Source organism: Homo sapiens, chromosome 10 (genome assembly GCF_000001405.40).
Source record: "Homo sapiens chromosome 10, GRCh38.p14 Primary Assembly".
Taxonomy (NCBI): domain Eukaryota; kingdom Metazoa; phylum Chordata; class Mammalia; order Primates; family Hominidae; genus Homo; species Homo sapiens.
In genome coordinates this window covers 51078209-51102220 of record NC_000010.11, presented here as the reverse complement: position 1 = coordinate 51102220, position 24012 = coordinate 51078209, and the positions used below count along the sequence as shown (strand labels likewise).

At 38.1% G+C, this 24012-nt stretch overlaps 1 protein-coding gene across 5 annotated transcripts in view, besides 1 other annotated feature; it reads right to left on the bottom strand.

Moving 5' to 3' along the window:
- PRKG1 (protein kinase cGMP-dependent 1) overlaps positions 1–24012 on the bottom strand; it is a 1307463-nt gene that overhangs the window by 1196130 nt on the left and 87321 nt on the right. The window lies entirely within an intron of this gene.
- Positions 18784–19305: an enhancer, noted in NCBI's record as "OCT4-NANOG-H3K27ac hESC enhancer chr10:52842676-52843197 (GRCh37/hg19 assembly coordinates)". NCBI's record gives its function as "activates a minimal SCP1, AML or CMV promoter by ChIP-STARR-seq in primed H9 embryonic stem cells {active_cell/tissue: H9 hESC(primed)}" and the evidence as "EXISTENCE:reporter gene assay evidence [ECO:0000049][PMID:30033119]".

Here is a 24012-nt window from a genome sequence, read left to right as displayed (position 1 = left end):
AACAAAGGTAATAAACACAAAGAAATTCATCACTTACTAGTTATTATACTATGTTTTATGCTTTTGAGGTCACTTGCATATTGTATTTCTACTACACGAGGTGTGCTACTCACATCTCTTCCCAACTCTGCATTCAGTGATGTCATGCAGTAGCTTGACATTGGCCATGATGGTGGTATTTACTCCACAGAAATTGGCAAATACCACAAATCACAACTATTTTGAGACCTAGTTGTTAAGTATTTGCCAGCACGCCACTGGGCAGATGCCCAGTTTCTCAAAGCCAGGGAGGGGATCTGAGGTCTTACTAATTCTTAAACACATTTTAATCAATTCATCTATTTTTAGCCTCAATTTTACCCCAGGCCCAGGGGTAACTGGTGACTCCAGTCCTTATGTTTTCTGAAGTTGAACAACAAAAATCCAATCGCTTCTCAGCATTTTAGTTTTATTTGGTCTGATAATCAGAAGTTTCTCTCTCTTCCATCCTTTTCAGCTTCCAACATGTTCTCACTATGATCTCCAACTCTGTTTGGTTTTTATCCTTATAGAATTGAGCATTTTTATAAAAAATACTCATTATTTCATGGATGTTTGGGGAAGGAGTGGAAATATGTGCATCTGTTTAATCTTCCATTGCTAACTAGAAATCATGTCATATACTAAAATGATAGGATTTTAGCTTCTCAAAGGAGAATACAAAGTTCTCAAAACATGAGACAAGTAATCTGGAGTCTGATTTTGGCACCTGTATTAGTGTCTTCTTGGGCTGCCATAACAAATGCCACACACCGACTGGCTTAAACAACAGAGATGTATTTCTCACAGTTCTGGACATTGGGAAGTCCAAGATCAAGGTGCCAGCCAATTGGGTTTCTGGTGAAGCCTCTCTCCTGGGCTTGTAGATGGGCATCTTCCTGTTGTGTCCGTACATGGTAAGGAAAGAGAAAGAGCAAGAGACCTCTCTGGTGTCTTTCTATGATAAGGACACTAATTCTATCATATCAGGGCCTCACCTTTATGATGTCATTTAACCTTAATAATCTCCTTATAGGTCCTATCTCCAAATAAAGTCATAGGAGAGGTTCGAGGATTAAGGCTACAACCTATGAATTCTCGTGTGGGGTAGAAACACAAATATTCAGTAACAGGAAAAAAAATTTCCAACTTTCCTTAGTGCCTAGCGAGAGGGATGAGAACCAAGCCAGAAGAGACTCCCTTGGTGAAAACTTCTTCATCCTCATGTTGGTTCAAAACCACTTTGCATTCGTGACAAGAGGCATAGAAAGAAGAGTAAATAGACTCAGAATCACCCTTTTTTCACAGCCCAGGAATCTGTTTAAGCAATGCCTCAGCATTGGGCTAATCTCCCCAGAGTATAGTTCTTCTTGCTTGCAAGATTCATAAGTCTTTAGAATTGTTAGTTATTTTCTCCATCTTCCTTTAAGAGTCTACATTCCTGTCTTGCCTTTCAAAATACAGGTAACAACTCTATCACCACTTCCTCCATCAGTTACTTGGGTCCTAATACCAAAGGTTTGAAAGGCTTCTTACCTGTAAGTCTTTAGTGAAGCCTGGTTATTTTAAGGAACATATTTATTTGATAAGATAGATATATTAAAAATAAGGGCTATGGGCTATGCTTATTGGCAGTCACAGCTGTAACAGTTGCAGCAATTTTGATATTCTATCAACCAAGGAGATATTTGTACTTCATTGTGTTACATATTGGAGACATTGTAGAATTTGGACTGAAAAATGCAGGCAATTCGGCAGTGAATGAATCAGGAAATGGATATCTCATGGAACATACTTTTGAGTGGCTGAGTGTGGTTTCTTAAGTCATTGCCACATTCTAAACATTAGACATTTTAAATTTTCAAGAATACTCCCTTATAAATTTCAAAAGTCTACAGCATCCATTTCAAGATTACAGTTGACATTTCCTATTTTCACCTTCCTAAGGCCTCCCTATTTTCTTATCCAATAGAATATGTTAAGTAATTTAAAACATACACACAAAACTAGACCAGGTATGATGGCTCATTTCTGTAATCACAGCACTTTGGGAGGCCGAGGCAGGAGGACTACTTAATGCCAGGGGTTCAGGACCAACCTGGGCAACACAGTGAGATCCAGTCTCTACAAAAATAATAAAAATTAGCCAGGTGTGGTAGTGCATACCTAGAATCCCAGATACTCGGGAGGCTGAGACAGGAGGATGGCTTGACCCCAGGAGTTTGAGGCTGCTGAGCTATGATTGTGCCACTGCACGCCAGCCTAAGTGACAGAACAAGATCTTGTCTCAAAAAAATAAAAATAAAAATAAACACAAACTGAAGGCACGAAGTTTTCTTATTAAACGGGCTCATGATGAGCCAAACACAATGACTAAAATTATACTCACAGCAAAGTGTATGATCAAAAAATCTTATTACGCAGAGACAAAGAGGACATCCTACACATTTCCAGGGAGAAGAACATATTCTAATGATGGTCTCTTTATTAGCAATATCTAGCAGAGTACCTGGCTCAGGGTGGGCACAAGAATGTTTTCCTCATTAACTTTATTCCACAGAGTCCTGGGTTAAAAAAAATACCTCAATATAGGTCATCTATCTCTACTACATTACTAAACCATTTCCCTCAGGTCAAGTATTTCAAGTTAGGAACACATTTTCCCAGAGGATAAGGAACATAAATCCTAGTTAGATTCCCAAGAGAGCCCACAAACACCTCTTTAAACTAGAGAAAATCATCCATTGTTGCAATGCTAGTTATTAAAATGAAAAGCACGTGAGTGAGTGAGTGTGTGTGTGTGTGTGTGTGTGTGTGTCTTGAATGCTGGTATCTAAGGAAAAAACAATTTAATACAACCACCTACAGCCATGTCAAATTATAAAATGGGTGCTTTGTCTTACTGTATAAAGTGTAAAAATAACTTCTTCAATTCTTCCCCCATCTCTGCCCCTCACTCCAGGGTGTTCTTCCTTAGGAATGAGGATTCATGTTGGTATGAGGCTACTATACAAAGCGAGCCTCAGAGAAGGGCTCCTTTAGATTAAAGTCCCCAGAAACAGATCCTGAGACAAGGGTTCACATGCAAGAATTTATTAAGGGAGTGTTCCCCAGAAAAAGAAGCCAAGCAAAGTGCAACTTCAGGCAATGTTCTATAGACTGTGTTTCACAGAGTGCAGCAAGGAACGCTGGAGGAAAAATTACAACTCTCTGAGGCAAGGGAGCTAGGCTTTTGTGCTCTCATATGTGAGAAACTGCAAGGTTTGCTCTGGGGTGGGTGGAATCTCCTAAATGCTTCCAGTTTTTCTTGATGTCTGAAAAACCATCAGTTACCCAGGGAAAGTTCGCTAAAGAAGAGTGGCCAATGCAGGCTATTGGAAGCAAAAGTGGATTTAAAGTGGGGAATGGCATGTGGGGATTTTAAAAGGAAACCAAGAGGATGTGCGTGACATACAGGTGTCCTTTAAAACTTGTAAAGAGTCCTTCATGGACAGCTTGACAATTTCAAAAAGTTGAGAGTTTAAGGGTCTGTTGGTTAATTTGTTCCCCTGTTAGACCATGTCAAAAGTTATGTACTTTGTTTAAGCATATATTTATACCTTCTTTTACCAAAGCATCATTGCTTCTGAAAAAAGGCTAACACAGGCCCACATTTTCTCTCTTTCATCCTTCCGCCATATTCAGTGACCTGTCCTTAAGAGGAATATCTCTACCAATTCACTTTGCTCCATTGCAGTCCACCTTGCTCCACCTGCATTAGTCTTGGCCTGTTCTGTTACTCACAACCCAATCCACACTCTCTCCAATTCAGGACCTCTGGGACACGGGAAAGGTGAAGGAATAGGTAAATAACAAGACTCTCATATAGTTCCCAATTTAATCCTCACAACTATGCTTTGATAGCAGTACTATACATATTTGATAGATGTGAAGATGAGACTGAGGCACAGAGAAGTACCTTGTCCAGGAACTTACAACTAGAAAGTGGTAAAGCCTGAATTCAAACGCAGCTGCATGTCAAGGGCCATGCTCATAAACACTATGCATACTATCTCTCCTAACAATCTCTCAGACATGTATTATTAGTGATATTTTAGGGAAAAAAAGAAACTAATAAAAGAGAAATTAATGATAATCCATTCATGCTCACATAGGAGCTAAGGGGCATAGTGAGAACTTCAACACAAGTCAGAGGACCCAAAAACCCATGATCTTTCCGTGATACTTCCCACGAAAAGAAGGCTAGTTTTTTTCCAGTTAACTGGGGGTGGAGGAGATCCAGAAAAGCTAGCCCAAGACCTATCATTTCTCAAGAATCATGCCAGGATCCAAAAAAGAGTTAAAGCATTGAAAGTTGAGAGATAAAAATCTCTCGGGAAGAAGAAAATGGCCTCTGTCCATTCCTGCCTGCGGGCCATCCAGAAGGTTGAGTGTAAAATTCAACTGAAGTTCTATGTCTATCAGGAGGGTAATCTGCATTAAAAATTCCTGGGAGATGAGCTGCTCTGAAGGAGGGCGGGCACTGCAATCCTTGTTGGAAGTGCTTTTGGAACTTTGGACAAAGAGAAAAACCCTACGGAAAGGAGATAAGAAGATGGGAGTAACAGCAAGTGGGGCTGCTAATCAGTCTGTTAGATGGCCACAAATGCTCTAATACCAGCACTAAGATGCAAAAAAAAGGCAGAGTGTGGTGACTGACACCTATAATCCCAAGCACTTCGGGAAGCCAAGGTGGGTGAATTGCTTGAGCCCAGGAGTTTCAGACCAACCTTGGCAACATGGCAAAACCCCGTCTCTACTACAAAGACAAACATTAGCCAGGTGTGGTGGCAGGCACCTGTAATCCCAGCTACTGGGGAGGCTGAGACAGGAGAATAACTTGAACCCAGGGGGCGGAAGTTGCAGTGAGCTGAGATCATGCTACTGCATCATTCCAGCCCCAGCTGACAACAGTAAGACTCTGTCAATAAAAATAAAAAATAAAAAACCTCAGGTTGCAGCCTGCATGTTTTCCTCCTATATGGACCCCTACCCCAGGAAAGTCATCACTGAGATGGCCAACCAGCATTATATGCACCCATGGCAGGATCTGAGTCAACCAGAAAAGATACCAGGGAACAGACTGCTAGGCTGAGACCTAACATTTGGGGAAGACCCCACTGTAGGTACCAGAGGGACAGTTATGGAACCTGGGGTAGAGGGAACTAGATTTCCAAACTGGCTAATGCACTATTGACATTTTAGGACAGATAATTCTTTGTTATGAAAACTGTCCTGTGCATTGTAGGATACATAGCAGCATCCCTGGCATCTACCCTCTTCTCAGTTGTGACAAGCAACATACCTCCAGAACATTGCAAATGCCCTTGGGAAGCAGTCTTTCCCAGTTGAAAGTCACTGGGCTAGCGGAATGATGAGGAGGCCTAGCAACTGCTGAGGCAGGGTTCTAAGAGCTTTACACATATAATCTTGTGTAATTCTCCTAACAGAAATCTGGGACACTATTATTATCTCTGTTTTATAGATGGAGGACCTAAGGCACAGAGTTGTTAAACAACTTACCTAAAGTAACACAGCATTAAATTGGCAGGCCTGAGAGTCCAACTGGGAGGTGTACTTCCAGAGACCATGCTCTTACCCGGTATACTATGCTGCCTCCCATTTTATAGATGAGAAATCCAAGGTGTAGAGAGGTAAAGGGCACAAGTACTGTCAAAACTCGAATTTGAATTCAGGTTTCTCTGACTCCAGAGCCCATACAAGAAAACACCATGGTCTACTAACTATCCAGTTTTTGCAACCATGAGGCTAGTAGGAGTGCCAACTGGGCTACTGACCTAAAAATTATTAAGTGTCTAAACACAGGCTCAGTCTTTAGTTCATGGACAAATGCAACATAAGGGTTAATTTCTACCTTCAATGGCCAGACAAATGTGGGATAAGGAACCAAGAGCTCATTACACAGAGTCCTGGATCGGTTTCAAAGCCCTATCTTTCCTTCTTTCACCTCCCTCCTCTTTCCCTTTCCTTCCAATTCTATCCCTCTTGAGCTGCTGTGCCTTCATTTTATCTACCATTTAAAAAAAGAAACACTACTAAATTTATTAAATAAAAAGAATTGCATATTTCTAATTCTTATGTAATAATATCACACACACACAACTTTGATGGGAGCATATAACACATAAATTCAAGCACAAACAAAACACAAAAGCTCATAATTAAAAATGTTACATTTCTATCTCTGAAACAAGAGGTAAAAACAATACATCTAAAGTTTTCCAGATCCTTTTAGCCTGCCAAAAGTCCTCAATTTATTTTTCCTGAATCATATGACTTCAATAAAATGAAGAATACTATTTCTACCTTAAATGTGAATTTCACTAGGAGTCTTCAAACCCTTGATTTACAAAAATTTATTCTTACAAATCTCATTGGGAAGGTGTGTAAATCTGTAAAGTCCTCAAGCAGACAGCAAACTAATTTGCTTTGACTCAGAATGCAGTTCCCCAGTACTGAGTATCACACTGCGCCAATACTTGAGTTTGTCTAAAAGCAGCAAAGCTGGGCACGCGGTCTGGCTGCTATCAAAGAATTCCCTTGAAATAGTGCTGAAAATAACTGCAATTGCTGTTAACTATAAGGTTTTCCTAAGTGAATAAGGCAAAAATAAGATTGGGGCTATTAATTTTAAATGAAATTGCTTACTTTACTCTTCAAGGCAACTAAGGAAACAGGGAATTACAATACACTCTAGCTGTGCCCAAGTAAATAAAGTCCCCCGCTTGAACCTGAGTTAAGTGTGCATTACCAGCGTTTAGGTATTTGATTACAAAAACACGGAGAGCCAAACCGTTTGACCAAAACATTTTGGGAGCTCATATAGAAGAGAAAAACTAGAAGAAAACTGCCTTTACCTCTGCAACAACCATGATTTCTGAGGCCAATAATTTAGAAGCATCCCGAAACTAAAAGTCAGCATGGAAAATGAGAGAGTACAGAACTAGATATTAAGAGACCTGGATTCTGAATGTGCCTCTTAGCAGTGATGTTACTATAGATCATAAACCCTCCAGACGTCTTTGTCATTAATTGTATAATGAAGGGGGTACATTTTGCAACTTTTATAGCCTTTCTTATCTGTAATGTGTGATTTTAAGGATCAGTGCTCTGCAGGGAAAAGAGTAAGGAATGTGGATTCAGCCAGACCCGAGTTCAAATTCAGCTTTTATTTGTATACTACGCTGTGACTTTGATCAAGTTATTTAATTTCCCTAAGCTTCAAGTGACTCAAATGCTAATTGTGGACTAATATAGCTTCTGAAGATGAAAAACAGTCTGAAATATAAATGTTAGTTTTGCTTATAAACTGTAAGGTCTATAAACCCTTACACATAAAGCCAAAATCAAAACTCTAAACACCAAAGCTTTGTACGTTTGCAGAAAACTCACTTGGTCACAAAACCCAACCTAATTTGGCCACAAGGGTTTCGGCAGCTTTTGTGTTTCCTATTTCAGTAAATATCCATATGTTTTGCTGAAGAAATGTAGATACGTTTTTTTATGGAGCGCTGCCCTAGACCCCCAGTGGATGTTACAGAATCCATTCTACATGTATCTTTCATGATACCATTCAAAAACCTGAAAGAAAAAAAAAAATCTGGATTCTAAAGCACACTGGGATCCAAAGGTTTCAGGTAAGAATTATGCATTTATGTTACAGATTTTAATTGTTTAGCATGTATTTTAATTTTTAGAATTTCTTATATTCATAGCTCAAAACCAAACACGACCCATTCAATAAGTAATCCATACAGAATGAAAACACAGAAAATACTGATATATTCCATTTTGTTTCCTAATTATTAAGATTTAATACTCTGTCTCAATTGTTATGTTCATCTATCTTCACGTACAGACTGAGTGCAAAGAACTGTTAGAAGCTGAGTGCTACAAGAAGAATAAAAGGGAAATATATATACATATATATATTTATAAAAAACACTGCATAAGTGTTTTCTATGCCCTAGATACTATGCTAGTCTCTTTACATATGTATTTCTAATTTAAGGTTGTGACACAAGTTCTGTCCCCTAGTAGTTTAGAGCCTAGATCCGGATAGACAAACAGCACTCATTGTTCACTGCACATCTACTGTGCCAAGCACCATTCTGGGGTCTAAAGCCTGGGGCCTGGATCAACAAAGGTGAGCTTACATGGACAAACAACCACAAGGAAACAAATAAATATATACTTTCAGGTAATTAAGTGCTCTCAAGAAACCAAGGTAAGATAATGCAATAAAGAATGTATGGGATAAAAGTGACTTGTTCAGAGAAGGGAGGTAGTAGTACCTGAGTGCATGGCGTGTGTGTGTGTGTGTGTGTGTGTGTGTGTGTGTATATATATATATAAAATACATATATATGTATATGTATATATGTATATATACATATAAATATATATATAAAATACACACACACATGTATTTATATATAGTATACATATAAAATATATATATACACACATACATACATATATATAATGTACACCCTCACAAAATGTGAAAAAAAATTATGAAGTAATAATTAAAAAAACAAGAGTTGACATTAAAAACCAAAAGAATATTAGACCTAAAGAAATGCAAACCTATAGTATACCATAAAACAAAGCATTTCAGACTGGTATGGGCAGAAAAGTTCTCCTGGAAGTGAAAGGCAGATCAGCCTTGAAAAGGAGGGGAACAAGCCAAGTACTAGCAAAGTGCAAGGAGAGACAGCTCCTAACTAAAAATCTCTGCTCCATTATTTTGGGCACCAGGATAAACTGCTTCCAATAGTGTTTATGTACAGTCTGCCACATTCAGCTCTAAATTCCCATCCTATATTATTCCAGGGGTTCTCTACTTTTAAGGCACGTCAGAATCACCTAGATGGGTGGTTAAAATACAGATTGCTAGCCCTAGCCCAGAGTTTCTGATTCAAAGAGTTTGGAGAGATATCTCAGAATCTGCATTTCTAACAAGCTCCCAGGTGACGCTGAAGCTGTTTGTCCAGGGCTCACACTTTGAGAACCGCAGGGTCTCTATATCTTTTAGGTTTTGCTCACCATTCTGGATTCTGCAAACAAACAAAACACAAGGAAACAGTATCAACCTGCACAACGATTCGTAGTGTGTTTTGAAAATCCTGTTGCATCACATGCGTTTTTATAAAATCCTCTAAATCCTTTGTTTATGTGTATACATAGGTATATCTCTAATATTTTGAATTCCTAATTGCTTTATACCTAGTTATTTATCCAAGCTGGTTCCCATCCACAAACATTGCTCACTTTTGTTCACTATTACTTATTTAAATATAAAAATCTGTAACTGAATCTTAAATCTCCAACTTACTGTAAACACATGGAACAGTTTATTGTCTCTGAAATTCCTTTATCAGTCTCCAGTGAATCCTCAAAGTAAGACTATTCTTTATTCTCTCACACTGAAACTTCATTTCTGGTACCCGCACAATAAGAAAGCAAGCTAACAGTGCTACCTCATTTCACTGCTGAATAAGCAACAGATTTGGCAGCATCCCCAGTTGGCTCATAACCCAGAAGCCTTTGCACCAGGCAGGACTGATAGGCATCAGAGCAAAGGCTTCTGGGGAACACAGCCAGCCAGTTAGCAAGCCAGGATCCTTAGTGAGACAAAGTGGAGTTAGCTTCAGCCACCTAAATCAGTTATGTCCCACTGGGGTTGGGACCACCTACTTTAGAGACCATTTCGTCTTCTTCATCTGCTTTCAGCCTCAGTGGCACAAGAACCCATTAGAATTCTTCCTTTAAAATCATTTCTATTCAAAAGAGAGGTTTAATTGAAACCCTCCACTTTCTTCACGAAATCATCACTTCAGGCACATCTAAAGAACTGAAATTTCTCCCTTTCTCTCTAAGCCCGTAAAGTTATTTTGTATTACATTTTTCTCATGTATGCTTGTCCATTCCTTTATTTCATCAATCAAATCTCTTCTCTCCCTTTGCCTCTCTCATTTCACAAACAGCTCTCTGATCAATTCTATATTCACCTCAGGGATCAGTGCTTATCTTTAACCTGTTGACTCTGTTCTTTTAACACTTCATGGCAGAATTTGCACAGGGAGCCAAAAAGCCAAGTTGGAAGGTTATTTCAAGGATATATCTTAGTGCTGAAGAAAATAGAACTGTAAAGCTGTAGAAAAGCAGAAGCCATACAGTTTGCTTACCAGAGTACCTCAAGATTAATCATTCTTAGTATAGGCACAGGCAGCAACAGGTGATCTCAGGCAAATTACTTAACTTCTCTGAGCTTGCTTTACTTTTGCTGTCCCTAAAATGGAGCAATTATTCCCTATATTTCAGAACTTTTATGAAGATTAGAGGGAAAAGGTATATTAATCCTCAGTAGAATGCCTGCACACCGTAAGTATTCTATAAATGGCAACCTGCTACTACTGCTGTTGTTACTGCTAATCAGATCATTAATACACTAATATACCAGATCTAGGCACAAAACTAAATGCTTCAATTCTCCAAAAACAACAACAAAAACCAGGCCAATTGAGCTTTTCTCACAGTAATGAGATTTAGTGTCCAATATAACAACAAATGCCCTGGGTCCAAATACAACCTTAGCATTCTAAACTTCATTGAATAAGCCATAAATTGTGTCACATAGTCATTCAAGTAAATTGATATTTGTAAAATAAAATGCTTATTTATATGAAAGGTATAGAAAAGGAAAATTTATAAATACAGAAAGCAGATTAGTGGTTGCCAGGTCCTGGGAGTAGAGCAGGGACTGACTGCAATTGGGTTCCAGGAAATTTAGGGGGTAATTGAAATGTTCCAAAACTGGATTGTGGTGATGGTCGTACAAGTCTATAAATGTAGTGAAAAACCTTGTATTTTACATGTATAATAGGTAAGTTTTATGGTATATAAATTATACTTCCATAAAGCTGTTAAAAATAATCTTTCTTGTATTACATGACACATCTCAAAATAAACTAGTATTTTTATTTTTATTCTAAAGCATTCCATTATCAGCTCATCATTATGACTGTCAAGAATTTGTCCAAGACCATTAATGTATTCCTCTACAGGCAAGCAGGACTGTTATCATTGCTTTTATCCACAATCATATTGTTTTTGAAAAGACATCTTGAGATACAGTATCAAGGTCATTAACAGAAAGCATTTATAAGCTAAGATTATGTTCTACGTCTGATAGCTTCTTGGTCTGGACAGAAAACATTCAAGTTGGGAATGAATGGTTTTCAAATAGAAATCCATTACTAGTGAATGACTTCTATGCAAACATTTCAACAAACAGAGAAGCCACTTTTCTTTAAACACTTTTGATGGATTTAAATCAAATCATTAAAGCAGTGGGTCTTTAAAACCTTCAACCAGAGCAGCAATGCCATAGTCTACATATATAGTGGCTGCAAATGTTAAAATAAATGTTACGAACAATATTATTACAATTTCACATACATGTATCTGCACAGAATAACCACTAAATACTAACACTTCCTGTCTTTTAGAGCATAAACAGCTTTACCTTGGCATAATACAATTATTTTCATGATTTTTTTAACATGGTTTAAATACATAGTGCTCAGTATAAACTTCATCAATCCATTCTTAAATTTTTGGTAGGCCTGTAACTGCTCATTGAATAAAATAAATAACATTATTATGGAACTTCACACTTGCCTATGTTCAACCCTTCTTGCCCACAGTTATCCCACACAGAAATTGTGTAGGATCCTTTCTGTCACTCAATCTTCCTCTGAGTCATACTCAGTAAAGCCAAGCTGGGTTGTGTTGGGCTCTACTCCAGGACCTTGTCATTACTGAACTTCTTTCCATCTCATGTTCTTCCATTTGGTTTAGACATGTACACAGCACTTTATCAATGGAAAATGGTTTAACAAAACTAATAAAAATTATGATAGTAATGAGAACCTCAACAGCAACTGTTTATTGAGCCCCATACTATGTTTTGAGCACTGGGCTGGGGATTCTCAAGCATTATCTCCAATCAGGGAAATGTTATAATCCTCATTTATAGTGAGAACATGGAAGATTAGATTCAATATTACACACCTAGTTAGTGCTAAAGTAGCAATTAAATTAGAACCCATTCTCCTATCCATTGTATATGCCATGTTCTGAGCTTACCTACTGTAATTTCCATAAATGCATTGCTGAATCACAGGAGTCAGTGGCTTCTCAAGGTAATCTCATGAGTACATGAATGCCCACAGAGTGTGAAGAATGGGTTGAGCTAAGTGTGATGACCTACTGGGTTTACAGTGGTATCATTTAAGAACTATTGGATTTAGGTTATATTACCTTAACTCTTTGATAATTAATTTTCTCATCTGTACAACAGTGATGATCTGTCCTCCATTATTTGCTCAGGTATTGTGAGGCATAAATGAAATCATACACATATTTATTTTTCTAGCCAATGAATATGTTGCAAAATCTATAGTTGCATTGGTAAATAGGTCACCTAGAAAAATAACTTCAGATACTCACATAAGCATATGACTAGATGAGGTGAAAAGTTTTTTATAGGATTAGGTGTTCTCAGTTTCCATCCTGAAGAGCTAAGAGACAATATACAAGCAAATTCCACCTTCACATTTTTCCTGTGTTTATTTTGATTAATGTTGAGGCAAGCACCTAGTTAAAAAGTATTTCCTTATGTGATTAATGGTCTCTACCAACTCATAATTTTAAGATCTTCAAGAATTTTTGGAGAGTAAAAATTATATCTAAATTTGAAAGGATTTTCTTAGTACGTGTTCTGGCTGTGTCTGCAAAATAAAATTAGTAAGAATTTGAAAAGATTATCTTCTATTTCCACTAATCCCATGCTTGTATTTATTAGCAATCAGTCTATCTTATTTTTAAGATTAACCAATTTATGAGATTTTATGTTGCAGAGTTTGGGATTACACATTTATTAGAGTTGGAGAACAACTGTGCTTCCTTGGAAAGGCATTACAAATCACAGATTATTCAAACTAGAAAGAACTTTTCATGACTGTAATCCCAATCTGAAAAATGGAAATGCCTTCAGAGGGCAGGCCAATAACATAAACAAGGGGTATGGGCTAGTTGAAGAGAGTATGGAGTGATAGGGATTATCATGACCATTTGGAGCACAGGCAATCCACAAAGGCATGCCAAAGCATCCAAATGCAATACCAAACATGCTTGGAAATTCCACTGAGCTCAGTGACATAGGTTTCCAATGTTTAAACTGTAAATTAAAAACTGAAGTATCTAAGGGCCAGAAACATGAAGAGGTTTTATCTTGTCCTTCATTTGACAAAAAAAAAAAAAAAAAATCATATTAAATATCTACTGTGTGCCATCCATTTCTGGGCTCCAAGGATGTAACATGGAGCAACAGAGAAATTGACTTTGTTTTCATGTAACTTACTATTTTCTGGGGGAAGTAGTTGTTAACCAATAACAGTCAAAACATAGAAATTCAAACTCTGATGGATATGGAAAAAATGTACACGGCACCACAAACCCAAACACTGAGAAATGGAAGCCCAATCCCAACCTAGGAATGCTGGGTCCAATCCATGTTGGAAGAAACAAAGGAGTGTCTTTTTTAGCATATAACCTACAACCACTGATTTTCAGATATTAAATGCTATGTGAGCGAGAAGAAGACACATATACTATAGTCTTACCCTATATTAGTTCCTTAACAAATATTTGGTAAATGATTGAACCAAAAAAAAAAAAAAAACTGAAAACCAATCCATAGAAATTTTTATTAACTGCCAGAATAAAGAATCAGAAAGCATTGATAAACTTTCCAAAAATTTCTATTAAAGACATTAATATTTAAGGGAAAAGAGGGAAATCAGTGAGGAAGTAAACCATTGGAAAATTGAGGTAATGTTTCTTCAAAATGGAAATTTGATTCAAGAGGAACAAGCCGAAGCTACTTAAAAATTTTAAACTAAAAACAAACAAAATACTCAAGTACAAGATGAGGAAAACTTTCTATGTATGAATCAGCTAGAAATGCTTTAGGTATATGTAGTTGTGTTTAATAAAAATTTGAATATAGAGGTTGGATACAGTGGCTCACCCCTGTAATCCTAGCACTTTTGGAGGCCAAGGCTGGTGGATCGTTTGAGCTCAGGGGTTCAAGACCAGCCTAAGTAACACAGTAAGACCTTGTCTCTACAAAAACTACAAAAATTAGCCAGATGTAGTGCCATGCACCTGTAATTCCAGCTACTTGGGAGGCTGAGGCAGGAGGACCGCTTGATCCCGGGAGGCGGAGGTTGCAGTGAACCAAGATCGCACCACTGCACACTATCCTGGTCACTAGAGTGAGACCATGTCTCAAAACAAAACAAAACAGCAAACCAAAATTGAATATAGTAGCAATACAGTATTATTGAAAGAACTATCATTATACTAAGGCACGCTAGTCTCTAAAAGAGAATGCACCCATGACCATCATGAGTATGGGTATACAGTATATTAAAAATTACCAAAGAGCTCTCTATATAAAAGAAACAAAACTGCACAAGAGACTTCTGCTAAAAATGAGTTGATGAAACAAATAGCTAAACAACAGAGCATATAGAGAGTGAGCATGAGCTCTGGGCTTACATAACCCTGCATTGCAGCACTTCAGGCCATTGTTTTGTTTTGGGCAAGTTGTCTAATTCCTCTGTGCCTCATTTTCTCCATATGAAAAACTGGGATGATAACAGTAGCTACTTTATCAGATTGCTGTGAGAATTAAATGAGATCACATATATGGTATACAGTTGGACAAATATTTTTAGTAATTATCATCATTATCATCATCATCATCATCATCATCATCATCAATAATTGACCATTAAAGACAAGGCTAAAAAGTAACAATTACTACTTTCACTTTATCAAAGATTTCTTTGGAGAGGAAATTGTTTCTAGGTCCAGAAAAAAAATGAAGAAAAAAAAGTGAGCCTAATTTGAGCAAGAGAAGTTGTTAATATTATATTCTTCCTTTCATGATGATAAAGCAATGGATTGATCTACAAAAAGAAGTGTTGAAATCTATTAACAGGAGTCAAGAAAGAGAGGGAAAAGCTGTCAGAGACGATTTAAAAACTCACTAGCAAGGGTTTTCTGAGATATTCTTTAATAACCTCTAAGACCATCTTGCAGAGAATCTCACTCTTGCCAAGAAAAATAAATGTATACTTGAGCCATTTTCCATCCATCACCCTGACAGTAACCCTTAGGAATCCAGAAGATGGAGCACTGCTCTATTACGATAGATGACTTACATAGCACAGGACTTCAGTGACTGCACCAAAAGATAAGACGAACCTCAGATGAGAAAGGGTCACTCGAGAAGAGTATCCTCCTCTTTGATGATCAGTGTTTTTGCTTTTACACTTCAGGATAAAGGAGCTAGTAATCTGTTTGTTCAACTTGATACACCTGTCTGCACACCAAATTTGGTATATTCACCAAAATATTTCAATATTGGTTCTTCTGTTCTCCATTTTCTAAGGGGGTGAGTTGCTTAAACTATCGTGGTTATATAATGAATAGAATATGAATTTTAATGGATACTCTTCAAATATCAGAATTTTTGGAAAAAAGTTATTATAATTATTTAAAAACATGTAAGCAAACACCCAAACACACATATCCATAATGCTTCTAAGTGCCTAAATTCTCTATTTCTGGAAGTTCTTTCTCTAATTATTGTTATTGGAAAGGACATGGGCTACACCCTTTTAGCTGTTATCTATCAGAAAGAAAACACTTTTATTAAGCTGAGCATTTCCCACCAAAAGCCAAAAGGAAGGGAAAATAAATATGTTAATGCCTTCAGCAAACCAACGGAAAGGCAAAGCCTAGATAAATTCATGAAGTATGTAAAAGGTGTCAAGAAGTTAAAAAAGATAACTCATTCACAGTGAGCTTATTTTATTTATTTGCCATTGCTTTCCATGAGGACAGTTTCAAAGTAACATCTACTTATTTGTATGCCATTCAGTGCTACATAAACAGGGAATCACTTAGTTCTCGCTTAGTTCCTTTTTTTCCAACAAGAGAATATAGGTTTCCATACTAAGTAATGGTAAAACATCTGGAAAGCAGAATCAGGCAAGTCACAATTTTTCATGTCATATTTTCCTTTGATGAAGAACAAAGAATCGAAGTAAAATTTTGAAGAAGAGAAAAATGACTTTTTCCTGACCAAGGATAAAATTCTTTTTAAAAGTTATAGCATTCTTTCTTTCACATTATTTCTAAAGCTTTTCAGATCTATAACAAGAAACACTGCTCATACAAGTGTATGATGGAGTTCACATTACATTTTTATAAAGCTAGGTATTAAATGAATAACTACAAACTTCGAGCAATTCTTTCATTTTGCACTGTACCATACACTACGGGGTAAAAAGATTTTCCTCTAACATTCAGAACTGAAAAAAAAGTTACATTAAGTAAAATCCATTTGCTCAGAGAGGAACTCACTGAATCGATCTCCCAGCCAAAAAAAAAACACTACTCTTACTTTTCTAAGTGTCTTTGGGCGTACTTTTCTAAGCTTTGGTACCCTCCAAAAGTTCAAAAATAAAAGAGTAGCAATTACCGAGAATGAAGACTATGATTCACATGAAGTTCTGTACTCAACAGTGCATGCAGTGTACACTCTAGGGTTCATTCCAGTGCATATTTTCTTATTTCTCTCTTCCCACTGACATAATGAGTTGTCAACACAGGCTTAGCAAAATGGTACCTGTCACTTTCAGATGTTTAATATTTCTCTGTGAAGGATATGGTGACACTCTGTCAAACCAGCACAAATCTAATCTAAGGCTATCTTCTCTTACTCGCTTTAATACAAAACGTGTTACTTAGTCACCAGTGAATTAGGTAACGTAGGTATTAGGAAGATACAAGTGTGGAGCTGTGCTTCCTTTTACAGCATGTTTGCCAGCCACCTGTAGGCATGGTAGCTTATGACCAACCCACCCTATTTTCCATCTGTAGCAATTACTCCAGAGGAGCAAAACTTAGATTTTGCATTTTTCTTTTTTGTCCTGGCCATATTTTCTTCTTTCTTTTCAGTCCAAACTTAGAAGCATTGTCAAAACCATAATTTACTGATAAAACTGGACCATTAAGATGATGTACAGTATATCCAGAAGATATGTTTTTTCCTCACATTATCTCCTTATTCCTTGGCCAAGATCTGGTGAAAGCTTGATATTACCATAATACAATTGTTTCTGAAAATAGTCCAAGTATTCTGCTTAACTAGAGTGTATTTGTCATCATTGACATTCAATCCAATTAACCAAATTAAACTGACTGGATGATACTATAATTACCTCATGTTCAAAGAAGTACAATGTTACTTCTTAACAGTAGGTAGGGTCTAAAAGTGAGAAAATGACACTAAATATTAGAAGGTCAATAACATTAGATCTGTTTTTTGATGCATATTATAATCACATAAAAATAATGTAAGGTATTTACTCATGTTTTATGCCCAGCCAAAGCATAAGTAAATAGCTTACATTATTTTCTCTCCACCTCTATGTAGAAGTGAATTAAATTACATCTATCTTAAAGCAAATCTGAAGTTTAATTTACATTTATGATCTTTAGAAAGGCAAAAGTAATTAACATTATTTTATTTTTGATGCAGGTGAAAGTAGTATATCTTGGTAGTAAATTGTCACTAATTTCTTCTTTTTATATGAACTCCCATCCTTTCATAGGTTGGAATAAAAGAATGCAAAGACACAGATATTTTCCCAGTGTCCTACCACCAACTTCTGCCTATCATTCTGCTTCTAACTGCTAAGTCATAATAATTAAACACATGTTTTTGGTCATGTTTTTCATTGTTTCTAATTCCTCTTATCCCTCCCCAATTACGCGCAATAACCAAATGCACTCCATGAAGCTGGATTCATAATGAAAGTGTTTACTTTACTTATGATTAACTTCCCTGCATAATTAATGTCCCCAATCCTCCGGGTAGCCTTATTACATCTATTCTGTTTTAACATACTATCTGTCAGCTGAATACATTTTCATATTTTAGGAGTGGGGAAAAGACAGAAAAGCTCCTTGCTGACTCCGATTCTAAGATTATTTTTATCAAAAAGTATTTGCAATTATATTAGCTATTTTCATTGCTTATATAAAGTGCTATATTGGCTGATCCTCACCTGAGAAGGTAATGATTAAATTACAAATGTAAATAGGCTCCTAGCAGAGACCATTAGCAACACCTTGAGGACTTTGTAACAAGGATCTAAGGGGACAGAGGGCAGGAAAGACACACAGAGCTGGCAATAGGGGCAGCAGTGAGGTCTGACCACAGGGTTTAGGAATTCTCATTTCCCCTGGAAGTCTTCATGAGGGACACACCAAGATCTTTTATTGCAGGTGTCGTCTCCGACCTCTCAACTGCCAGCAATGCCCAGATCTGTCCACTTAAACCAAGCCTCCTGGAAAGGGGGCTGAAAGGTTGATGTGCTAGTTCTGCTTTCTCTGAAGTCTCCTCGGAAAGTACTCCTCAGCCTGAGCTCACGCTGTTTGCCTTAAAAGGATAAAATATCTGTAGGAAAAAAAAAAAAAACTGTAGCTGGCTGCAGAGACATCACATACCAAGAGAGACGCTACAAGCCCAGGACTGCTCTTCCAAGAGGCGCTCATCATTGTTTCACCTTCAACTTAGCATTGGATAGCAGGAGCTGGGACCCAAAGAAACTATCTGGCCACAGAGGCAGCTGCCCTCAGCAAGAATTTAAAAACAAAACAAACAAACAAAAAACTTGGGATGAAAGCTGATCCTAATGTGTGTCACATTTGAAAGTGGCCAGGAACCCTGGCTGGCAGGAAAGGGGAAACAAACTTACCCACTGAACAGAGCTGCTGCCACTTTTGTGTGCCCCAGGTCCTTAACAGGTAACCCCAGAGATTAAAGTGATGCTGATAGGTTCAGATGCTAGGGAGATTGGGGAGCTGAAGCTGCCTGGCTCCACTGCAAGCCAGGGACTTGGGTTGCTCAAAAAGAAACAAGAAAGGTGCTTCCCCAAAGAATAGGAATTCAAGTAGTCTGTAACAATCAACAATGAATGGGTCATAGCAGAGGTTTCTCAACCCTGGCTGAATATTATAATCACTTTGGGAGTAAAAATAATATACCTATACCTCAGGTCTACCCCAGAGCAATTAAATCATAGGCTCTGGAGGTGGTGCCCAGCAAATGTATGTTTTAAAGCTCCCTAGGTGATTGTAACATACAGCTATGTTTGAGAACCAATGGGCTAGGTAGGGAAATGATCACTTGTTTAGGAGAATAAACAAGAAGGCATCAACTAAACTACACGTACAATTTGTCTACACGTACAATTTGGCAAAAAAAAAAATCCAGCTATGCTTTCGCAGGCCCCTAGTGCTTAAAGGTTTTAGCCAATAGAGACATTCAACTCTTTAGATGAACACTTTATCCTGGTCTTTTGTTTAATATCACACACAAATGTACACACACAACAAACACACACACTCCTCTTGTCATCTTCCTATTAGAGTGGTTATCAAATTTTGCTACACGTTAAAGTTACATGGAGAATCATCAAAAATTACTGATATGTAGCTTCCAACACCCGGACATTCTGATTTTAATTGGTTTGTGGTACAATCTAGGAATTGGATTTTTATGTTCCCCATGTGATTCTAATGCGCAGGAAAGTTTGGGAACCGCCGTCCTACATTATTTCTTCCACTAGTCCCAGAGTCCTTCTGCTTCCTATTTAATTATTGGTGAACAGATACACCCCAGAGAATGACCTATATGTTATTCATAAAGTTTTCCTGCAGCTACCTAATCCCCATGACCCTTTGGGCAGTAAGAGAGCCTAGTGGCTAAGGAGAAAAGCTCTGGAGCTCAAATTCAGGCTCAACCTAGTGTGACTGTGGGCAAGTTGCTTCACTTCTCTGCGCCCCAGAGTTCTTTTTCTCATGCTGTGAAATTGGGATAATCCAGAATCTTCCTCATAGGGTTGTTTTTGTCCTAAAAAAAAGATGATCAGGTGGGGTGCGGTGGCTTACATATGTATTCCCAGCACTTTCTTTGGAGGCCCAGATGCTGGAGAATCATTTGAGGCCAGAAGTTCAAGACCAGCCTGTGCAACTGAGACCCTGTCTCTACAGAAAAAAATTAAAAATTATCCAGGTGTGGTGCTATGTGCCTATAATCTTGGCTACTCTGGAGGCTGAGGCAAGAGGATCACTTGAGCCCAGGAGTTTGAAGCTGCAGTGAGCTATGGCTGTGTCACTGCACTCCAGCCTGGGCAATAAGACAGAAAGAACCTGTCTCAATCAATCAATCAATCATTCAATCAATGAAAGAGACAATCTATATAAAGCACAGGAGCAGTGCCTGGCACAGAGTTAGTGCTCCATAAATGTTACCCAATCTGATGATGATGAGCAGTGTAATTCTTGATGCTTTCATTCAGAAGCAGGATGCACTGAGTTGTTGCCCTTATTCTTGTCCTCTGCACTGTTGGCTGCACAAACACCACCAAGTCCTCAATGATGTCAAATTAAGGAGCATTTCAAAGGGACAATACAATGCATTCAAAACAAGCACTGGTCTAATGGGAAACTATCTTCAGTATAGCTCCCTAAGAAGGCAAGCCTTCGATATACTCTAATTTGGGTGTCTCTTCTCTATGGCAGTCTTCATCCATAAAGTACTATCTTACTTGCAAGCTCTTTTCCAGTCTTGTCACCTATTTACTTGCACACAAAGCCTATCACTATTTTCCAACTTCCTTGCAAATATGGCATAGTTTTACCAATACCCATCTCGTTTCGCCCTTTCTTGTTCCCTCGATATGCATTTCTTCTTCTCACTCTACTCTCCAGCTTTTTTCATTGCTTATAAATTTCACGCTTAAAATATAGGCAGCCTCTAGAAGCTGAAAAAGACAAGATATGGAGTCTCCCCTAGAGCCTCCAGAAGGAATGCTTATATGAATTTTATAAGCAATGAAAAAAGCTGGAGAGTAGTATGCTTATAAAATTCATTCAGAAATAAGACAGTTTTGAGAGTGTACTATTAGTTCCACATTGTGTTAAACATCTGTTTTGTGTAGCTGAAGTTTTTGTGCTATTGTTTATATTTACAGGACAGTTTTGGAGGGAGAAAATTCCTCTGCTCTTACAAACAAAATTATCCTTAGAGAGTTCAAACAGGTTGCACATACTGAACTTCTCAGAAAATAAATTTTAAGGAAGTGCTGAGGAACACAGTCGTTACAGAAGATGGTGAGAGGGAAGCAGAACCGGTGTCAGAACTGAGTGTGAGGAAGCAGACAAGGGCTGTCGGGGAAGGGGTGGCAAACAGTACCAGCTCAACAATTCAGATTAGGATACAAAATGCCAAGGATGTGATTGCATAATAAGTTGTTGAGCATACTGGTAAATGCTGCTTTCAGCATGTGCTTATTTATCACATTGTCTTGCGTTCTCTGAGCTTGAAAGGTTCAAGTCAGAGGATCTGGAATGCTAGCAACAGACCCAGTTTCTTGGGATGGGCTGCAGCACCTATGGTAGAGATGGCAGAAAGAGCAGCAGCCTGGTGTTCGAATATGGTTGCTAGGATACCATGGAGACCCTCCATTGCTAGGCAGACAGAAAAAAAAATGTGTCCATATGCCTTATAACCTGCAAACAGCAACAATAGAAACATCATCTGTGTTCTTCTACCCTTTCCCATTAGGAATCCAGATAACAAGTAGCAGGAGCTTGGAAATGTGACCCAGTAGAGCAAGGAAGCTGGTAATTTATATTCTCAGGCAGGTAGTAGAGCCATTCTATTTAAGAGCTTACCAGTATCTTCATTATAAGACCCATTTTGGGGGCATGCAACTTGACTGTGCTTCAAAATACCCTAATAGGGTTTTAGCACGCTGGTCTCATACATTTTTATAAATGCTCCCGGGACTTCATTTCTACTGCATAAACTGTAATGTCAAATTAACAATCAACCTTAAATTAGAAACTCTATTAGAATAACATTAGGTTGGAATTTAACTCCTCCACAAAAACAAGAAAGATGACTTTCGAAAAACAACTTCAGGTTCAATTCTCATTGATGTTCAGTTTGCCTAGGTATGTGAGGAATCTGCAGTGCTAGTCTGTGGCATCAAGTTAGATTACTTTCAATGAGAACATTTGGAAGTGAGTGGAAAAAGGAACTTGGAACTTGGTTTCTTTAAGACTTCTAATCATCTGCTGTTTGCTTCAATTAACTACTCTTACCTAGTTATATAGTTACGACTATTAACAGGACTGTGATGGTGGGGGTAAGAAAGCTGAACTGATATTCTGGCATTCAGAACTGCATTAGTGGGTAACTATTAGTCCTTGGTGTAAAACACACACACACACACACACACACAAATGAGCCTTAGCTATTCTAAAACCCAAAAGAATGCCCTCTCGCCTACTTTATCAAATCATAGAAACCAAGATTCTCATTCTCACTGGCCTAAACTTGCTTTTCCACAGTTCCCACTACAGTACTTTAGCACAGCCACTAGTTGCTCCCAATTCCCAGAGGGGCCCTGCTTTCTTTTTCTGTGCTGTCACTTTGCTAATGGCTTGGAATGTATTTCCCCAATCCCTATCTCTATCCCTCCCTCTTTCCTCTCATTTCCACTCACCTAAATCATAGCCCTTCTTCAAATACTTACTTTAAACCCTTCTACTTCCACATGAGTTTCTGACACCATAAAACCAAACAGGCTTGATTATATTTTGCCAACTCTCTTAGTTATCTCCCCTGTGACTTACCTTACTCTATCTACTTTCTAGAATATTTACTTGTGCAGTATTGTTAACCCCTTGTTCACTCCTGGATGGTAGGACCTATGTAGCTCTTACCTCTAATGCCTTACAATATTTTGCATGTCACAGGCAATCCCATAGAAGTATTGAACTGAGATGTAGGGCACTTTTGGAATTAAATTTCTACCTTTCAAGCCATCTATGTTTTAATATTATGCCATCTATGATTACACTAGAATTCTAGAATTCTCTCAACTTCCAACAGAATTTAATATACAGTCTTTAGGAACATTTTGTTTTTCTTGAGATATATCAGTATAAAGTTTAAAAGATTAAATAATCTCTTAAAATGAATGCCTCCTTAAAAATAAAAATAGGCCGGGTGCGGTGGCTCACACCTGTAATCCCAGCATTTTGGGAGGCCAAGGCAGGCGGATCATGAGGTCAGGAGATCAAGACCATCCTGGTAACACTGTGAAACCCCGTCTCTACTGAAAATACAAAAAAATTAGCCGGGCGTGGTGGCTGGCGCCTGTAGTCCCAGCTACTCAGGAGGCTGAGGCAAGAGAATGGTGTGAACCCGGGAGGCAGAGCTTGCAGTGAGCTGAGATGGCACCACTGCACTCCAGCCTGGGCGATAGAGCGAGACTCCGTCTCAATAAATAAATAAATAAATAAATAAATAAATAAATAAATAAATATAAATAAATATTTTTATCCTCAACTCCTCCAAAGTACTTCGCAATGAAAAAGTGAAACAGGGGCCAGGTGTGGTGGCTCACATCTGTAATCTCAGCACTTTTGGAGGCCCAGGTGGGCTGATAACCTGAGTTCAGGAGTTCAAGATCAGCCTGGCCAAAATGGCGAAACCCCATCTCTACTAAAAAAAAAAAAAAAAAAAAAAAATAGCCAGGCATTGGTGGCACGTGCCTGTAATCCCAGCCACTCAGGAGGCTGCGATGGGAGAGTTGCTTGAACCCTGGAGGCGGAGGTTACAGTGAGCCAAGATCGTGCCACTGCACTCCATCCTGGGTGACAGAGTGAGACTCTGTCTCAACAACAACAACAAAGGAAAAAGAAAGG